Source organism: Homo sapiens, chromosome X, assembly GCF_000001405.40.
Source record: "Homo sapiens chromosome X, GRCh38.p14 Primary Assembly".
NCBI lineage: Eukaryota > Metazoa > Chordata > Mammalia > Primates > Hominidae > Homo > Homo sapiens.
The window spans coordinates 33,198,843-33,213,206 of NC_000023.11; the positions used below are offsets into that span (position 1 = coordinate 33,198,843).

The window sequence follows — 14,364 nt, forward strand, 5'->3', positions numbered from 1 at the left end:
ATGTCTATCCAGAGGTAAGCTTGTAGGTGGAAAATGGTGTCATCAAGGTAAAAAAGGGGAAACGGGGAGGTTCTAGACAAATAGAAAAGCATACACAAAAGTACTGTAGATAAAAAAAAAAAGCTATACCTAGTCAGGGAACAAAAAGAAAGCCAGTAAGGGGGCGAGGCAAAGGAAACATGATGGGAAATGAGATAGGAGAGGTAGGCAGTGTCTAGACTTTGATTTTTAAATGTGTTTTGTTTTGTTTTGTTTGGCTTTCCTAGCAACCAAGAGAAACTACTAACATGATTTAACAAGTGGTGGTATCTTCGAATTTAATTGGCTGCATGAAGTTTAGAGAGTGGATTATCAAGAATACGAAAGAGAATGCAGAGAAACTGGAAAGGAAAGGCTGCTGTATTCCTAGTGAGAGAAAATATATTGCGCTAGGATGATGGTAGAGGAGATAAAGAGAAGTGGATGAAAATATATTAGAGGATAAAACCCACAGTGACTGGCAATGACTTAGAAATAACTGGGTAAAAAAGATCAGAGTTTCAAGGATGAGATATGTTTCTGGCTTGTGAAACTGGGTGAATGGTTGCACCATTCAATGATAAGAAAAACAATGAGAAGGAAGCAGGTTTTGTGCGGTGAAGAGAAAGTTCTGTTTAGGGCATTTAGAGGGAGGTGACTATCACATAAGAATGGAGATGCCACCCAGGCAGTTGAAATCACAGTTCTGGAATTCATTGGAGAAATCTAAGCTAGAGGTATAACTTGGTTAGTTATCTGTATATAAGTGTTAATAAAGCTGTGGACATAAGTGCAATGATCGAGGAAGAGATCATTATGAGAAGAGAATTATGCTAGGACTAGATCCCAAGGAAACCTAATTTTTAAAGGCTGAGAAGAGAGGATCAGCCTGCAATGCAGACTGAATACAAACACCCTCCAAAGTAGTAGTGAAGCCATGAGAGGACAGTGCACAGATCTTAAAGACGACAACATTTTTAAGAAGGGAGAAAATGGTCACTATTGACCTTCTGCAAGTTCAAGAAAGACGAAGAAATTTCATTAATTGGTTCTAGAGACATGAAGTCCTCTACTTCACTTGAACTTAGCAGGGTGAAGCTTGAATAGAAAAATAATGAAAGCATGCAATTAAAAGAAAAGAGAATCTCAATATCTTGTCCAACTGATGCATATAAGAGATAGAAAGAAGATAATACTTTGCTTTATTTTTGTATTTTTACCATAACAGAATTTATAATCTAATTTTCTTAAACAAATTATCAAAAAAGAAACCAACAAAGTTACTGCTAATGTTGAATATTAAAGTACTATTATTAATAGCTTCTTAATTAAGAAATAAATAATTATATGTTTGTTACAATTGGGAATGACATTTGAATATAATAAGTTGTTTTTTTTTCCCAACCGTGTTGTAGTGTTCTTTACACTTTTCAAATGGAAAAATGTATTCAGTGTTGTATTATTTATCATGTTACTGATCTTATCAGTAAAGCCAAAAACTTTCATACGTAAACCACTTAATTTCCAAGTAATGTGTATGTATGTGTGCCTCTGTGTATGTATGATAGACAGAAAGACAAAAAGAGAAGATCTATGCACACTAGTAATATTGAAAGAAATGAGCTAATTTACTTCATTCATCACACTGTCATAAAGACTTTCTTTTTTCCTAGAAAAGTGGTATCTCATACAACCTCATCTAATCTCATACACTAGAAAAATGGATCAGCATTGATTAAAATAAAATAAATTCTAACAATTTCTTATTTTTATATAATCACACATCTTAGTGTCATTATAGCAGTAAGTTATAAAAACAATGTATATTTGTATATTTAATATTAAAGAGTAGTGCTACAAATTAACCTACTGGGTCTCCGAAATATATTTCTGAATTAAGGCTTATTTCTATAGCTTATCCAAAGATCAATAACCTTACAGTTAAGAAGATGCATTTTAAATAAATGTTAAAATTTATATTATCCTGATAGTTTTATATACTAGTTAGTTACTGGACAATACTAAACAATTGATACCATGGAAACGCACATGATAATCAATAGACTTTTTTTTTTTTTTTTTTTTTTTTGAGACAGAGTCTCACTCTTTCACCCAGGCTGGAGTACAGTGGCGAGATCTCCGCTCACTGCAACTTCCACCTCCCGGGCTCAAGTGATTCTCCTGCCACAGCCTCCTGAGTAGCTGGGATTACAGGTGCACGCCACCACGTCTGGCTAATTTTTGTATTTTAGTAGAGATGTGGTTTCACCATGTTGGCCAGGCTGGTCTGGAATTCCTGACCTCAGGTGATCTGCCCGCCTTGGCCTCCCAAAGTGTTGGGATTACAGGCATGAGCCACCGCGACCAGCCAATAACCAATAGGCTTTTAATTTGAAATAAATTATTGGGGAGTATTTCTGACTTCCCTTTGCCTCCCACCCTCATTTATACATCTTGAATAATTCTGTTCCATCACGATCTCTGACATTATTTTTAAATATGTAGATATGTGTGCATTCATTACCTCTTTATGAGATGAGAGAATAAAATTGCTTGTGAAGTCAGAGAAACTCAGTATTATTTCTAATCATATATATGAGAATGCCAATGTTGACGTTATCGTACAGAGTGCACATTGCTTAACTCCAGGGGTGTCATTTACCTCATAGCATAATATTAATAGTCCACGTTACTGGTACACTCTAGAATTGTACAGTGTACACTATATGAATGTATGCAACTAAATATCACACTGTGGATGACTAACATAATGAAGATAAGAGAAAAATTAGTTTATGTAAAAAGGCAACAGTAATTATAGTAACTTAAATAACCTACTGTTTATGCCAAGTACTATTCAGAATAGTATGGCACGTTAATCTATGTAAACCATTTTTTTACAATACTAAATCATGTTCAGGTTAGCCCAGTTCTTAGCTTTTTGTTCATGTAGCACAGTTGCCTGTACATAACTGAAATAAACTCTAAAAGAACAACTAGTGAGACCACTCTAAGGATGGCTAACTGTAGATGATTACAAACAAACCAGGGCTGCATTAGTTTTATTTTTGATCTTTTTCATCTTCACAAAGTAAGAAGAGTGAGATAGTAATAAAATTGTGAAACAAGATAACTGTTATGGATATTATCATAGACAGCTCCCTATGCAAGTCTAGAGAATGGGCATGAGTTATTTAGGATATCTCAGTTTTTATCTAAGAAAATATAATATGCCAATGTCTATAGGCTTTGAGTAAACAACCCAAAATTTTAATGGGTTTTATTTTTAAAGAGCATCCTCAATGGGACATGTCTAGTTCTTGTTAGAAGATACTATGATTCCTGCCATTTTATATTTTGTTCTATCCTTTTTAGAATTCTATTAAAATCTGAGAGATCGTGACAACTGACTGGTTAAGAATCTTTAATCCTACTGTCATGCTGCCACCATTAAAATCCTGACTCTACCACGTACCAGCTGAGCTACCTTAAGCAAATTACTTAATCTCCCTGTACCTCTACATATTCATCTGGTAAATTTAGATGATTATGTTTCCCCACCTTCTAGAGTTAATATGGAACTTATCACATATGTATGTGATGTAATCAGAGAAGTGCCTGACACTTATTACAGGCTTGTTAAATGGTAAATACAGTATTATCATTGAAGATTAGGTGAATCTAGAATAGTGCTATGCACACACAAGGTACTGTCAATAGCTGTGTATGTAAGACAGATCAATGTTTCATTAATCCTTTTTGCCTCACTGCTTCTTGCAATCATTCTCTAATTCACATCTCTGTATGTCCATACTCTTATGCCTATTTATAAAAATGGATTCTTCAATGAGAATGTCCATAATCACACTATTCATAAGTAATCATTTATGATTGATTTGTACCATGCTTTATAACTTTCTTGATATTTTATAGTAGTTGTACGCATATACATATGTGTGTGTATCTGTTCTCTGACTTAGAGTTGCTGTCTCATAAAAAGCAAAGAGAACATAGGTGTTCAACAATGTTGAGTTATAAGCAATTAAAAACCTAATGTTAAAAAAAGTTGCTCAATATCATATTACTATTCTATCGAGTCTTACTTCCTCCAAAGCTAACTGATAAGTACATTACATTCATCCATGATTAGATTGAATTACTCAAATGCCTTCTATCTCTTTATTGTGATTCTGGCTTTATTTAAACTGAAATGTCAATGTTTTCTAGGTATTTTTACCATTTTTGCAGATATTGGGATAATCACTTTCACTAACGGTCCTCCAGAATTTTTAGACATTTCTCCAATAAGCATCTATATTAACTAAACTAGCATTAAATAAAGTGCAAACTTACCTTGTCATAACTATGCAATTCTGTATTCTCTAAAGGATGATTTTTCATATTACTCAACAATTCTGACTGAGCAATTGAAATTGAGACTATGATAAATGTTTTACACTGAAGGCTCATTTCATTATACAGTAGTCAGTTGAAATGGGGTTTCCGAAGAAGGTATTTTTAGGAAGTGCAGAGTACAGGAAAAAGCTGAATACGTTATACAATTTAAATATTTATTGAAGCTTTTCTACTAAGGCAACATTTTGGTAATATTCACAGAAATAGCAATATGGGAGGAAATTAGGGGTAAATAGATGGTAGAGACTGTGGAAACCAAGACACCTAATGCTAAAAGTGGGATCCTCATTCATGAAGTCATTAAATTGGAGATCGAAAGGAACAGACCTCTTTATGGAAATATTATTTTCCTTAGAATTTCATCATTTTTTCTAGATGTGTCTTCTCTGATTTTTTTTTTTTAGTGCTTTTGTCTTCTTTATTGAATTTCCGATCTCCTCTTCACACTCTATTATCTTTCTAGCTGGTCTCATCCACTCCATGAGTTGCATATTTAAATCCCTAATAATGACTTCATTTCTAGGCACAATACCCACGCGCTACATAAAAATACAAAACAAAACAAACACCTTAGCATCCACACCCCTAATCCTTCCTGTTGTTCCAATTTCCCTTCCAATCTCCTTGCAAATGGCACCATTATCCACCCAGGTGTGCATTTCATGGAGCACACAGCATGCAATACAACACCAATTCCTATTGATTCTATCTCATATACAAATCTTGAATAGATTTACTTCTTTCATCTCCACTGTCCCCATTCTAGTCCAAATCACCTTCTTTTGGATGAGCTACCGTAATTGCTTCAGATTGATAGTCCTTCATCTACCCTAGGCACTTGCCAATCTCTTTCACACAAAACAGAGTGATAGTCTTAAAAAATACAAATATGTTTACATCAGTTTTCTACCTGAAACCCATAAGGCTGTCCATTGATCTTAGTATAAAGAGAAAAATAATTTCTATAACCTTCAAGGCTCTGAATGATTGGACCCCAGTCGGCCATTCAGATGCAAGCTTGTTCCACACTTTTCTGCCCTCACTGTACTCTAGGAAAGCTGTACTTGTTTTAGATCTTTCTCCATACCATTTTCCACATTCAGAAACATTGCTCCCTCTGACAGGGACATTTTTGCTCCCTCTTTTCTTTTGGACAACTATACTCTAACCTCATTCTTCTTTGCCTTGCTTTGAATATTTTTTTTTTCTCAGAAGTATTTCCCCAATTTCGAAGACTGGTCTAACTCTCCCTATTATACATTCTTATTACAATGTGTGCTTTATTCTATAGCCCTTATCTCCAATGCAAGTAGTTTGCGTGTGTGTGTATTTAATATGCACATCCTCCTTGAAATGCTAGTCTCTCTTTGAGTTCACTTGTTTAGAATACTATCGCCAGAGCATAGCACAGTACCTGGCACAAAATGGGCACTCAATATGTGTATTTGTTACATGGACAAATGAATCAATAAATGGATAACAAATCATCAGCTGTAAGTCCCTTCTTTAAACTGTGGTCACCCAAAACCACACAATACAAGTTTTAGAGAGTCACTTATTTTGATACTTTTATTTTTGGATTTATTTTGAGAGCCAATCCATTTTCAGACATTTAAAGTAAAACACTGCAAAAGCCATAGGCTTGAGCAAAGTGAACCTCTGTGATAACACTTGGTGCTCTCTGACAGCCCATTAGAGACGGGGTGTGTACACCTAATCCAAAGGAATCCTCTAGCTCTTCAGCAGCTGTTCACATGGCTCATGCCCTGCCCTTCAGCGTCTACTAAATCAGGATTCCCCAGCTGTCTGAGCTTCCCGTAAGCGATTTTAGTTAACCACCTACAAGCCAACATTTCTTGCATCTGATTACGCTCTTTAAAGTCTAATTTCCCTTTTGCTTCCTAGTTATTTTGCAACATGTGAGTCATTGGGATTCATCATTTTTACAGATTATTATTTTTTCACTTACTCAACTAGTTTATTAATATTTTGTTCACTTAGTCACCAATTTATTTCTAATACATCGTTCTTAAGCACCAACATAAAAAGGAATTACTCAATTTGCCTTTGATGAAAATACGTGGGCCATTCTGATTTTGTGATTTTTCTTTCTTATTTCTTTAATTTTTCCTCACACAGCTTCCAAGGCTAAAATCTGCACTTGTAACAGTGTACTGACTCCCTTGCCCTTTAAGTCAGCACTTAGCTCAGGCTAAGGTACTATTGCAACCGTAATCTGATAAAGGAAGAGACAAGTTGAGTGCAAATAAAGATGAGTGCCAGGAATGAGAAAAAAGCTACTGATGTTTATGCCCTTTTATAGTCCTGATTCCATGACAGTCTTAGCCAAAAGCAGAGTGGAAGAAGGGAGAACGCTTTAAAACAAAACAAAACAAAAGCCAAGAAGAGGGTAAAAACATTTAAAGGGTAAGCATTTTATTTGCCCATAATTGGAAATAATATGGGACACCGTAATGGTAATTGTGCTCAGCTAACACTGACCTTTTTTAAAAATCAAAATTTTCATGATAGTGAAGACAACACATTTAAAAGTTGACAAATTAGCAAGAGACTTCGTGATATATATGTGAATTCCTCATTGTTGATATGCCCATGTATGGTTTTCATATTTATTAAATATAAACAAAAAACATCATGATTCGAGCATCTGATTTTTTGAAGTTTCTTTAAAATTATCTTAATCCTCTCCAAAACCCATTAAGCCATCTACATTCTCATTTCATTACATGGATAAGCATTGGCTTTAATAATGCATTTTAATGTACCTCCTCTTCGTTGACACAACCACATTTTTCTACTAAAATAAATAACTAAACTAAAATGAATAATAAACAAAAATAAAGGCAAAGCTCTTCCTCAGATTCTTTTATTCAAATGGCAATTAGACCTACATATTATTCACCAGTCTTAGATATATTTCAGATTTCCAAATTGGCATGAGAAAATCAATTCATCAATTTGCTAGCATTTTTAATTTATGGACAATTATTTTCTTAAAATGGTATGTAATCAAAATACTGAGTTAAAAATTCTGAAAGAGTCATTTAAGAACAACAACAAACAACAACAGCAACAACATTTTATCAGCATGGCAAGGAAATGACAACTCCATTTCAATTAAAGGATCATTGTCCATTCTCCCCCAGTTCCCATTAGTGAGGAATGGGGTTCATAATGACAGAGTGAAAGTGAGGCATTGAGGGAGAAGGCAAAAGATCACAAAAGAAAGCAGGAATACATTGATTTCTAAACCAAATCCAGACTACTAAGAACATTGGTTTTCTCAGGGCTTACTATCATTACATATACTACGCAAAGTCACCTTCAGAGGTTGTAGGCCTCCAGAAAATTGCTCTGTGTGTTCCGTTGCCTACTGAAATTCCCAAGTATTTTGAACGAGTGATATCAGATTAAAATAAAGATCGAGCTCAGAGTTGAATAGAAATTATCCCTTAAAATGGCAGCCTAAACAGAAGATGTGAGCTATAAAAGAGGGAGTACTGATCTTTGTGTTTTTAATGGGAATGAGGTAGAGGTTGTATGGCCGTGAGATGAGGACTCTTTTTATTTTATTTTTTTTTAACTTTTAAGTTCAGGGCTACAAGTGCAGGTTTGTTACATAGGTAAACTTGTGCCATAGGGGTTTGCTGTACAGATTATTTCATCACCCAGGTATCAAGCCTAGTACCCATTAGTTGCTTTTCCTGATCCTCTTCCTCCTCCAACCCTCTACCCTCCGAAAGGCCCCAGGGTGTGTTGTTTCTCTCTATATGAGGACACTTTTAAGCATAAGACAGCAGAGCCATTTCCCTTCCTCATTCTCATTTGTCTGCTGCCTATCAGAATTGTGCTTAAGAAAATTTATATGCCCTTAAAACGCTGGAGCCAAATGTATTTTTTTGGTCTTTTTGTTGGGCCATATTCAAGGAAGTAATCTTGAATGGGGAAACAGAAAGGCTATGCCCTGGGTGTTAAAGTATTTCATAATCTCTAGAGGAGCCATCTGGTTTAAGAAGGCACATTGAATGCTATAATATGCTGTAATATATGAGGGAAACAGACTTTTTATACTATCAAGCCTTTCATGAAAAAATTTCATGAAAAAATAAACAAAATCATTTTAGCTTTTAATCTTGGAACTATATTTAGTATAGGAGTGATTCACAAATAGCAGAGTTACTCTCCCATTCGAAGGGGTTATCAGAATCTCTGGAAGACACATTCACTTTTAGTATTAAGTAGAGGGAGCTTGAAATTTTGCAAGGATTTTAGGGACAATTCTATAAGTGACATAAATAGAAAAAACCCTCCAAACTTGGTAAAATAATAAATTATCCCATGGTGTTGCCATTTTAACTTTGATATCTGTATTAAAATGAAACTTCAGAACTCCAAACATATGTCAATATTTTATAGCATGAAACCCCAAGGAAGTCTAACTAATAGATGTTTTACGTAGGGAAAAGGTGAAGACTACAAACTATTTATTTGCTTGGTTTGTTTGTTTTTTGAAGATCAGTATACTGCATTGAGCACACTCTACAAGGGGAAATATTTTCATGAAACCTGGTTGCATTTAATAAAAACGTTTATTTCCCACACTGCAGCCCATGACCTTCCCCAGAAAATATTCCAATACGAACCAACTGCCTTGATAACAGAACACAAACCTCCTAGGACTATAGCAGGACTTTGTGAGAAAGAAAACCATTGCCTCTCTCTGAATCCAATCAAAACCTGAATGTACTGTATAAAAATAAACCAAGGTCATCATTATTCCTTGTCATTGTGATTTGGCGTGCCTTCAAATTATATACCCTGTATATTTCAAATAACTGCACCGCCTCCATTAACTGAGTTTGACATCACTTTAATCAATGTATCTTTTCAGAATGAAAGGCAGAAATGTCAAATTCCTACCATTATAAATTCTTTTAACTCTCTAATCTGCATTAAATAAAAGGTTGTCTTTGAGAAATAATAAATGCTCTAAAGAAATATAACTAGCATCAATTTTATTTTAAAATGTAACTGGGAAAAGATTAAATGTCAACACATCTCTTCATACAGAGGTGATTTCCCAAGAAACTATTAAAGCCTTACTTACATGAGGGGCCCCTCCCAAGGCTGTATCCAATTTTCTATTATTTTTCTTAAAATAGCACCCCCAATTGTATAACCTCAGGCCCCATAAATCCTTTCTTCCTGGTTCGTTCTGTGTTGTCAGACAGGGAATGTACATTAGTCTCATTTGTCAATTCCTTAAAAAATGATGTGTGTTTAAAATAGAAAATTTAGAAAAATGAACAGAAAATTATCTTTAAAGAAAGGTTAATTTCTAATTAGACCCTCTTAGGAAACTTTATACCCTGTGATTTGAATGCATATAAATGTGCATATATATAAATATATATACTCATACCAAAATACTGTGTTTCTTGTATGTGTGATGAAATAAAGAGTTGATGAAAAAGTATGATAAATCATTTTTAATAAGTTAGGAAAATATTACAATAGAAGGTGGAAGGAGAAGGAAAGTTTGGGAAATGACTTTGTTTTACTCTTGAGATAAAATTTTGATGAAAGATAATAAAATAGAATTTTGAAAAACACCTGATGTTTCCAAGACAATGATTTTAATCTCTTTTATTAAACTACACAAGTGGTTAAAAACTTGACAATTTGTTTCATATGTAGCAAATGACATGGAGTACAGGGATTTCAAATGAATGCTATAGGAATAAAGAGGAAGCTGTATTAATATCTGTGCCCAAATGATGAATTTGCAATTCAGTACTGTCTAGCTGGAATAGTGTCAGCCAACACCTTTTTCCCCTTAAATAATGTAATTATGCATAGAACACTTTGTAGTCTTTTTTTAAAGTTTAGAGTAACATCTATATGACATACTCTATTGTATTTTTCATAATGTTATGTCATGTAAGATACACCAAAAGCTTTGTATTAACAGTATATCATCAATTTAGATCAGCAATCTCTTTTTCGTAGTTAAGATGTCTTTAAAAGATTCTGCAGATGAAATTCTAAAAGGTGATTTTATTAGACCTCAGATGACTTACATCATTTAAATATATTCAAATGAAATGTCTATTTGCAGTACACTATTTGAATAATTCTTTACAATGCATTATTTGAGTAATTCTAAAAGTGAACAATACAATATGTTTGACAATACAGTGATCTCTTTTAAAGGGTAACTGTTTTGGTTAAAAAACAACAAAACGTACTTTTGTAAGTTTATCAAACTACGGCAAATTTACAAACTGGATTCAAATGTCAAACATCCAAGTAGCAGTATGTTGTCAAACAGCAAAATTTAATGTATAATATAGCCCTGAGTATATCTCCGTTTTTTCTTACCAAACTCATTGTCATGTTGCATAGGCATTACTTGATGATTTTTTAAATGCAGCGTGAAAAAATCCTACAGGGCATGTCCCAAAAAGATTACCTTTCTTCGCATTCTAAGAATTGAAAGTTATTTGAATATCTATGACAAAGCAGAGTGTAGATTTACCTTGCTTAATTTCAGCAGAATTGCATATATTCTTTCAAAATTGCTCTATATACTTGTATATGATGTTAATTATGTAGAATATATATATATATAAAATCACTAGTGATTTTGATGGTATTTATGTTACATATATCAAAGAAATAAAAACAAAAAATAAAAATGTGTGTGTATATTGCAAACAACAGATATATGCCATGCATATATTTGTAATGATAGTAAATATAATAGTTTTTCAATCTAAAAGTAATAATGATGTCCACCAAAAGAAATTTATGAAGCAAGCCAACAATGTAAGTAAATATTGTATTATAAAGTCTGGTAGCTTTTAATGTGACTCAATACATGGACAATGTTAACTTATTTCCACAAAGTTTTCCCAGTGGCAAAACTTCTGCCTTTTTTTTTAGTAGTTGTGGAGCATTACTTATTTGGAGAGATTTATTTTTTCATTCTTAATTATAGGCATTGCCCTCATATCTATTTTAGAATAACTACACTCCACAAGTCAAAGATGGGTGGGGAAGAGATAAACTCCCATCTCTTCGGGACACACAGTCCTTATCATATATTATTTTTACTGTTGTGCCACAGTCCATTTTTAAATCCTTCATTAGTCATCATGACTTTCTTAAAAATAAACGAAATAGTTGTATTTCTATATGAAAGACAAACTAAAAAATTGAACTGAAAAGCTGGCTCATAATAGACATGAAACAACAAGGTGACTTTACTACTAAATATAATTAGGAGTTCCTCAAGTTTGTATGTCGTTTACCCAAGAAATCATCTGATCATTTGATAGCATAGATCACATCATTATTTGAAATAATTATCATGATATGCTACAGAAAAGAGCATTTGAAATAGTAAATGTGAGTAAGAAACATTAAAATTAAATCTTTATCAATACTTTTCACATCCTTCAATTATCCGTCCCAACTCATTTTATTCTTTATTTTATCCATGATGTGTCAGAGAAACTTTTTCTAACTTTTAGGCCTCCATGTAGTTCCTATACAGTAGTTAGTTCAATTGAGAATATATGTCAGGTCAGTAACCTTTATGTAACTGTTACTAAATACGGAAGTATCAACTAATCAAAATAATAACTCAGATATACAAACTATCTCACAGCAATCAAAATAAATCTGTTATAGTCAAATGACATTCTGCATATTCTATTACTGCAGTGGTTTGTTAATCAAGAAATCATGTGTTTAGTTCTATCGCAAAGAAAAACTTTTACACTCCATTTCTGTTGAAAAGTTTTCCCAATGAAAAATATATATTCCTGAATAAATACATATATATATGCAGTATATATAACATTTATGCTTCTTTGCAAACTACTGTGATAATTTAAAATCAATCTACCTAATTAGTGAGCTTGTCACAAACTAAACGTTATGCCACAGTAAAATATATTTTTAGTTACTTTGTACTTACAACAGTCCTCTACTTCTTCCCACCAAAGCATTTTGAAAAGTGTATATCAAGGCAGCGATAAAAAAAACCTGGTAAAAGTTCTTCAAACTTTATTGCTCCAGTAGGCTTAAAAACAATGAGAAACCAACAAACTTCAGCAGCTTTAAAAAAAGTAACACTTCAGTTTTTCCTATTCGTTTTTCTCCGAAGGTAATTGCCTCCCAGATCTGAGTCCTGTAGGGGGAAAGTGAGTGATCCCAACACTGAGTGAGTCAACACAGTAACTGATGCCAGGATTCTGTAGAGGCCCCCGGATATTTCAAATTCCAGGACCTGCGCACAAGCAAGTGACCCGCCTTCTCTCTCAAGTTGGTTTCCCATAATAGGACTGTCCATGGTCACTACATATAAGGTTGTGCTTCCAGCATGGCAAGCTCTGTGAATTCAAACAATGCTCAACTGTGTTCTGATTAATATCCAAACCAGAATAGCACAGTGGACATAGTACTTGCTTTTAAAGCCTTCTAAACACAAAAACTATTCAGTACAAAAGCATAACAATACTTTCTGTAACTTTCATGTGAATTTATTAACAGAGCAGAAAATCCGGATTCAAAATTGACTTTTAAATGCCTTTTTTATCCTCTCAACAACACCAAAAATTTCACTCTACCAAATAAAAAGGAATGCCCAGAATAATCCATGCATTTGTTATGTATCCACTGTCTACCAAAGTTATTTTTTCCCCTTGGGATTCAATCAAAAGTTATGTATTGATGATGCCAACAGTCTGAATAAGAGAAGCAGCAGCAGAATGCAGCAGCTGAATTCTGAAGGCAGAATGTGTGTGTGTATAGGTCTCATGGGACATGTTTTCCTGCTAAAATAAAGAATACTCTTATAATGCAGGAAAGAAATTTTTCTCAAATCCTAAATTTCAGTTGTGAATTATGCTAAAACTTCTTTACTAACAAATTATTCTTTCTTCCATTTCTCTGGTGCCAATTCTTAAAACACCATTTTTTTAGACATTGAGTTAATGATCATTTAATGGTTCTGAATAGAGGCTTGTTTTCTGTATTAAGTGAATACAGTTGTATTATGTCATTCAGCATGTAAATCATTCTTTGCCAATAGAAAGCTTCTTCATCTTGTTCCTTATTACTTTTATGCAACAGGCGAGCCCAAAATTGATAGAAAACATTGGAAACATTTTTTAAAGAAAGATATTCTTTTTATAGTTATAATAATCCCTACTAAAATTTTTGTTTGAGTGTTTTTATTGTACCATTTGTTAAAGTGACAGACTCATTTTTCTATGTCAAACATTCAACTGCTTGCGACTGCAATGAGTAATAGATAAAAATTAAAAAAATATTGAGTCAGACTGTGATGTTTACCTTAATAGTTAATTGTACATTTTGTGTTTTAGAATATTATTGTCATAACATTGCTATTTTCCCCAGCAAAAGGTGTATGAGATAAAACATAAGGCCTAATTTTAATTTAAAACATTCTTTTCCCTAGGTCACCTCCTTTCCTCTCAGTGTGGTTGTCTAAATATGCATATAAGCAAAATTTTCATAAAACAACATAGAAAAAATGAAAAAATTGTTTTGGGGCTGATTTGGCTCTAAGTCTGCATGTTAGCATCAGTGTCCCTCTATGCTGTGAGGTACAATATTGCCCAGAGTATAAGTGCCCTTTGTATCTTGCACTGTGAGTTTTCTACAAACATAAACCCTTGTTTAGGCCAAGGCGTGAATACAACTTGTCGGTCCCAAACCAACATCAATATCACGTGGGAACTTCTGAGAAATGCAAGTTGACACGAGACCTCAAAAGTCAGAAATTCTGGGGTTGGGACACAGCACTCTGTGTTTTACCGGTGATTCTAATGCATGGTCAACTTTGAGAAACCCTAAAGTGTATGTTTCTAAAAACAA

At 33.7% G+C, this 14,364-nt stretch overlaps 1 protein-coding gene across 15 annotated transcripts in view; it reads right to left on the reverse strand.

Annotated features, from left to right (window-relative positions):
* The window catches only part of DMD (dystrophin), a 2,220,167-nt gene that overhangs the window by 2,079,621 nt on the left and 126,182 nt on the right, over positions 1–14,364 (reverse strand). For 13 of the 15 annotated variants that reach the window (XM_011545467.2, XM_006724473.3, XM_006724474.4 and 10 more), the window contains exon 1: positions 12,440–12,707. The exons of the other annotated variants lie outside the window; for them this stretch is intronic. In XM_011545467.2, coding sequence (XP_011543769.1) covers positions 12,440–12,470 — 31 coding nt within the window. In that variant the 5' untranslated portion in view covers positions 12,471–12,707. Of the gene's footprint in view, positions 1–12,439; positions 12,708–14,364 lie in introns of those variants that run through there. 15 annotated transcript variants of the gene reach the window in all.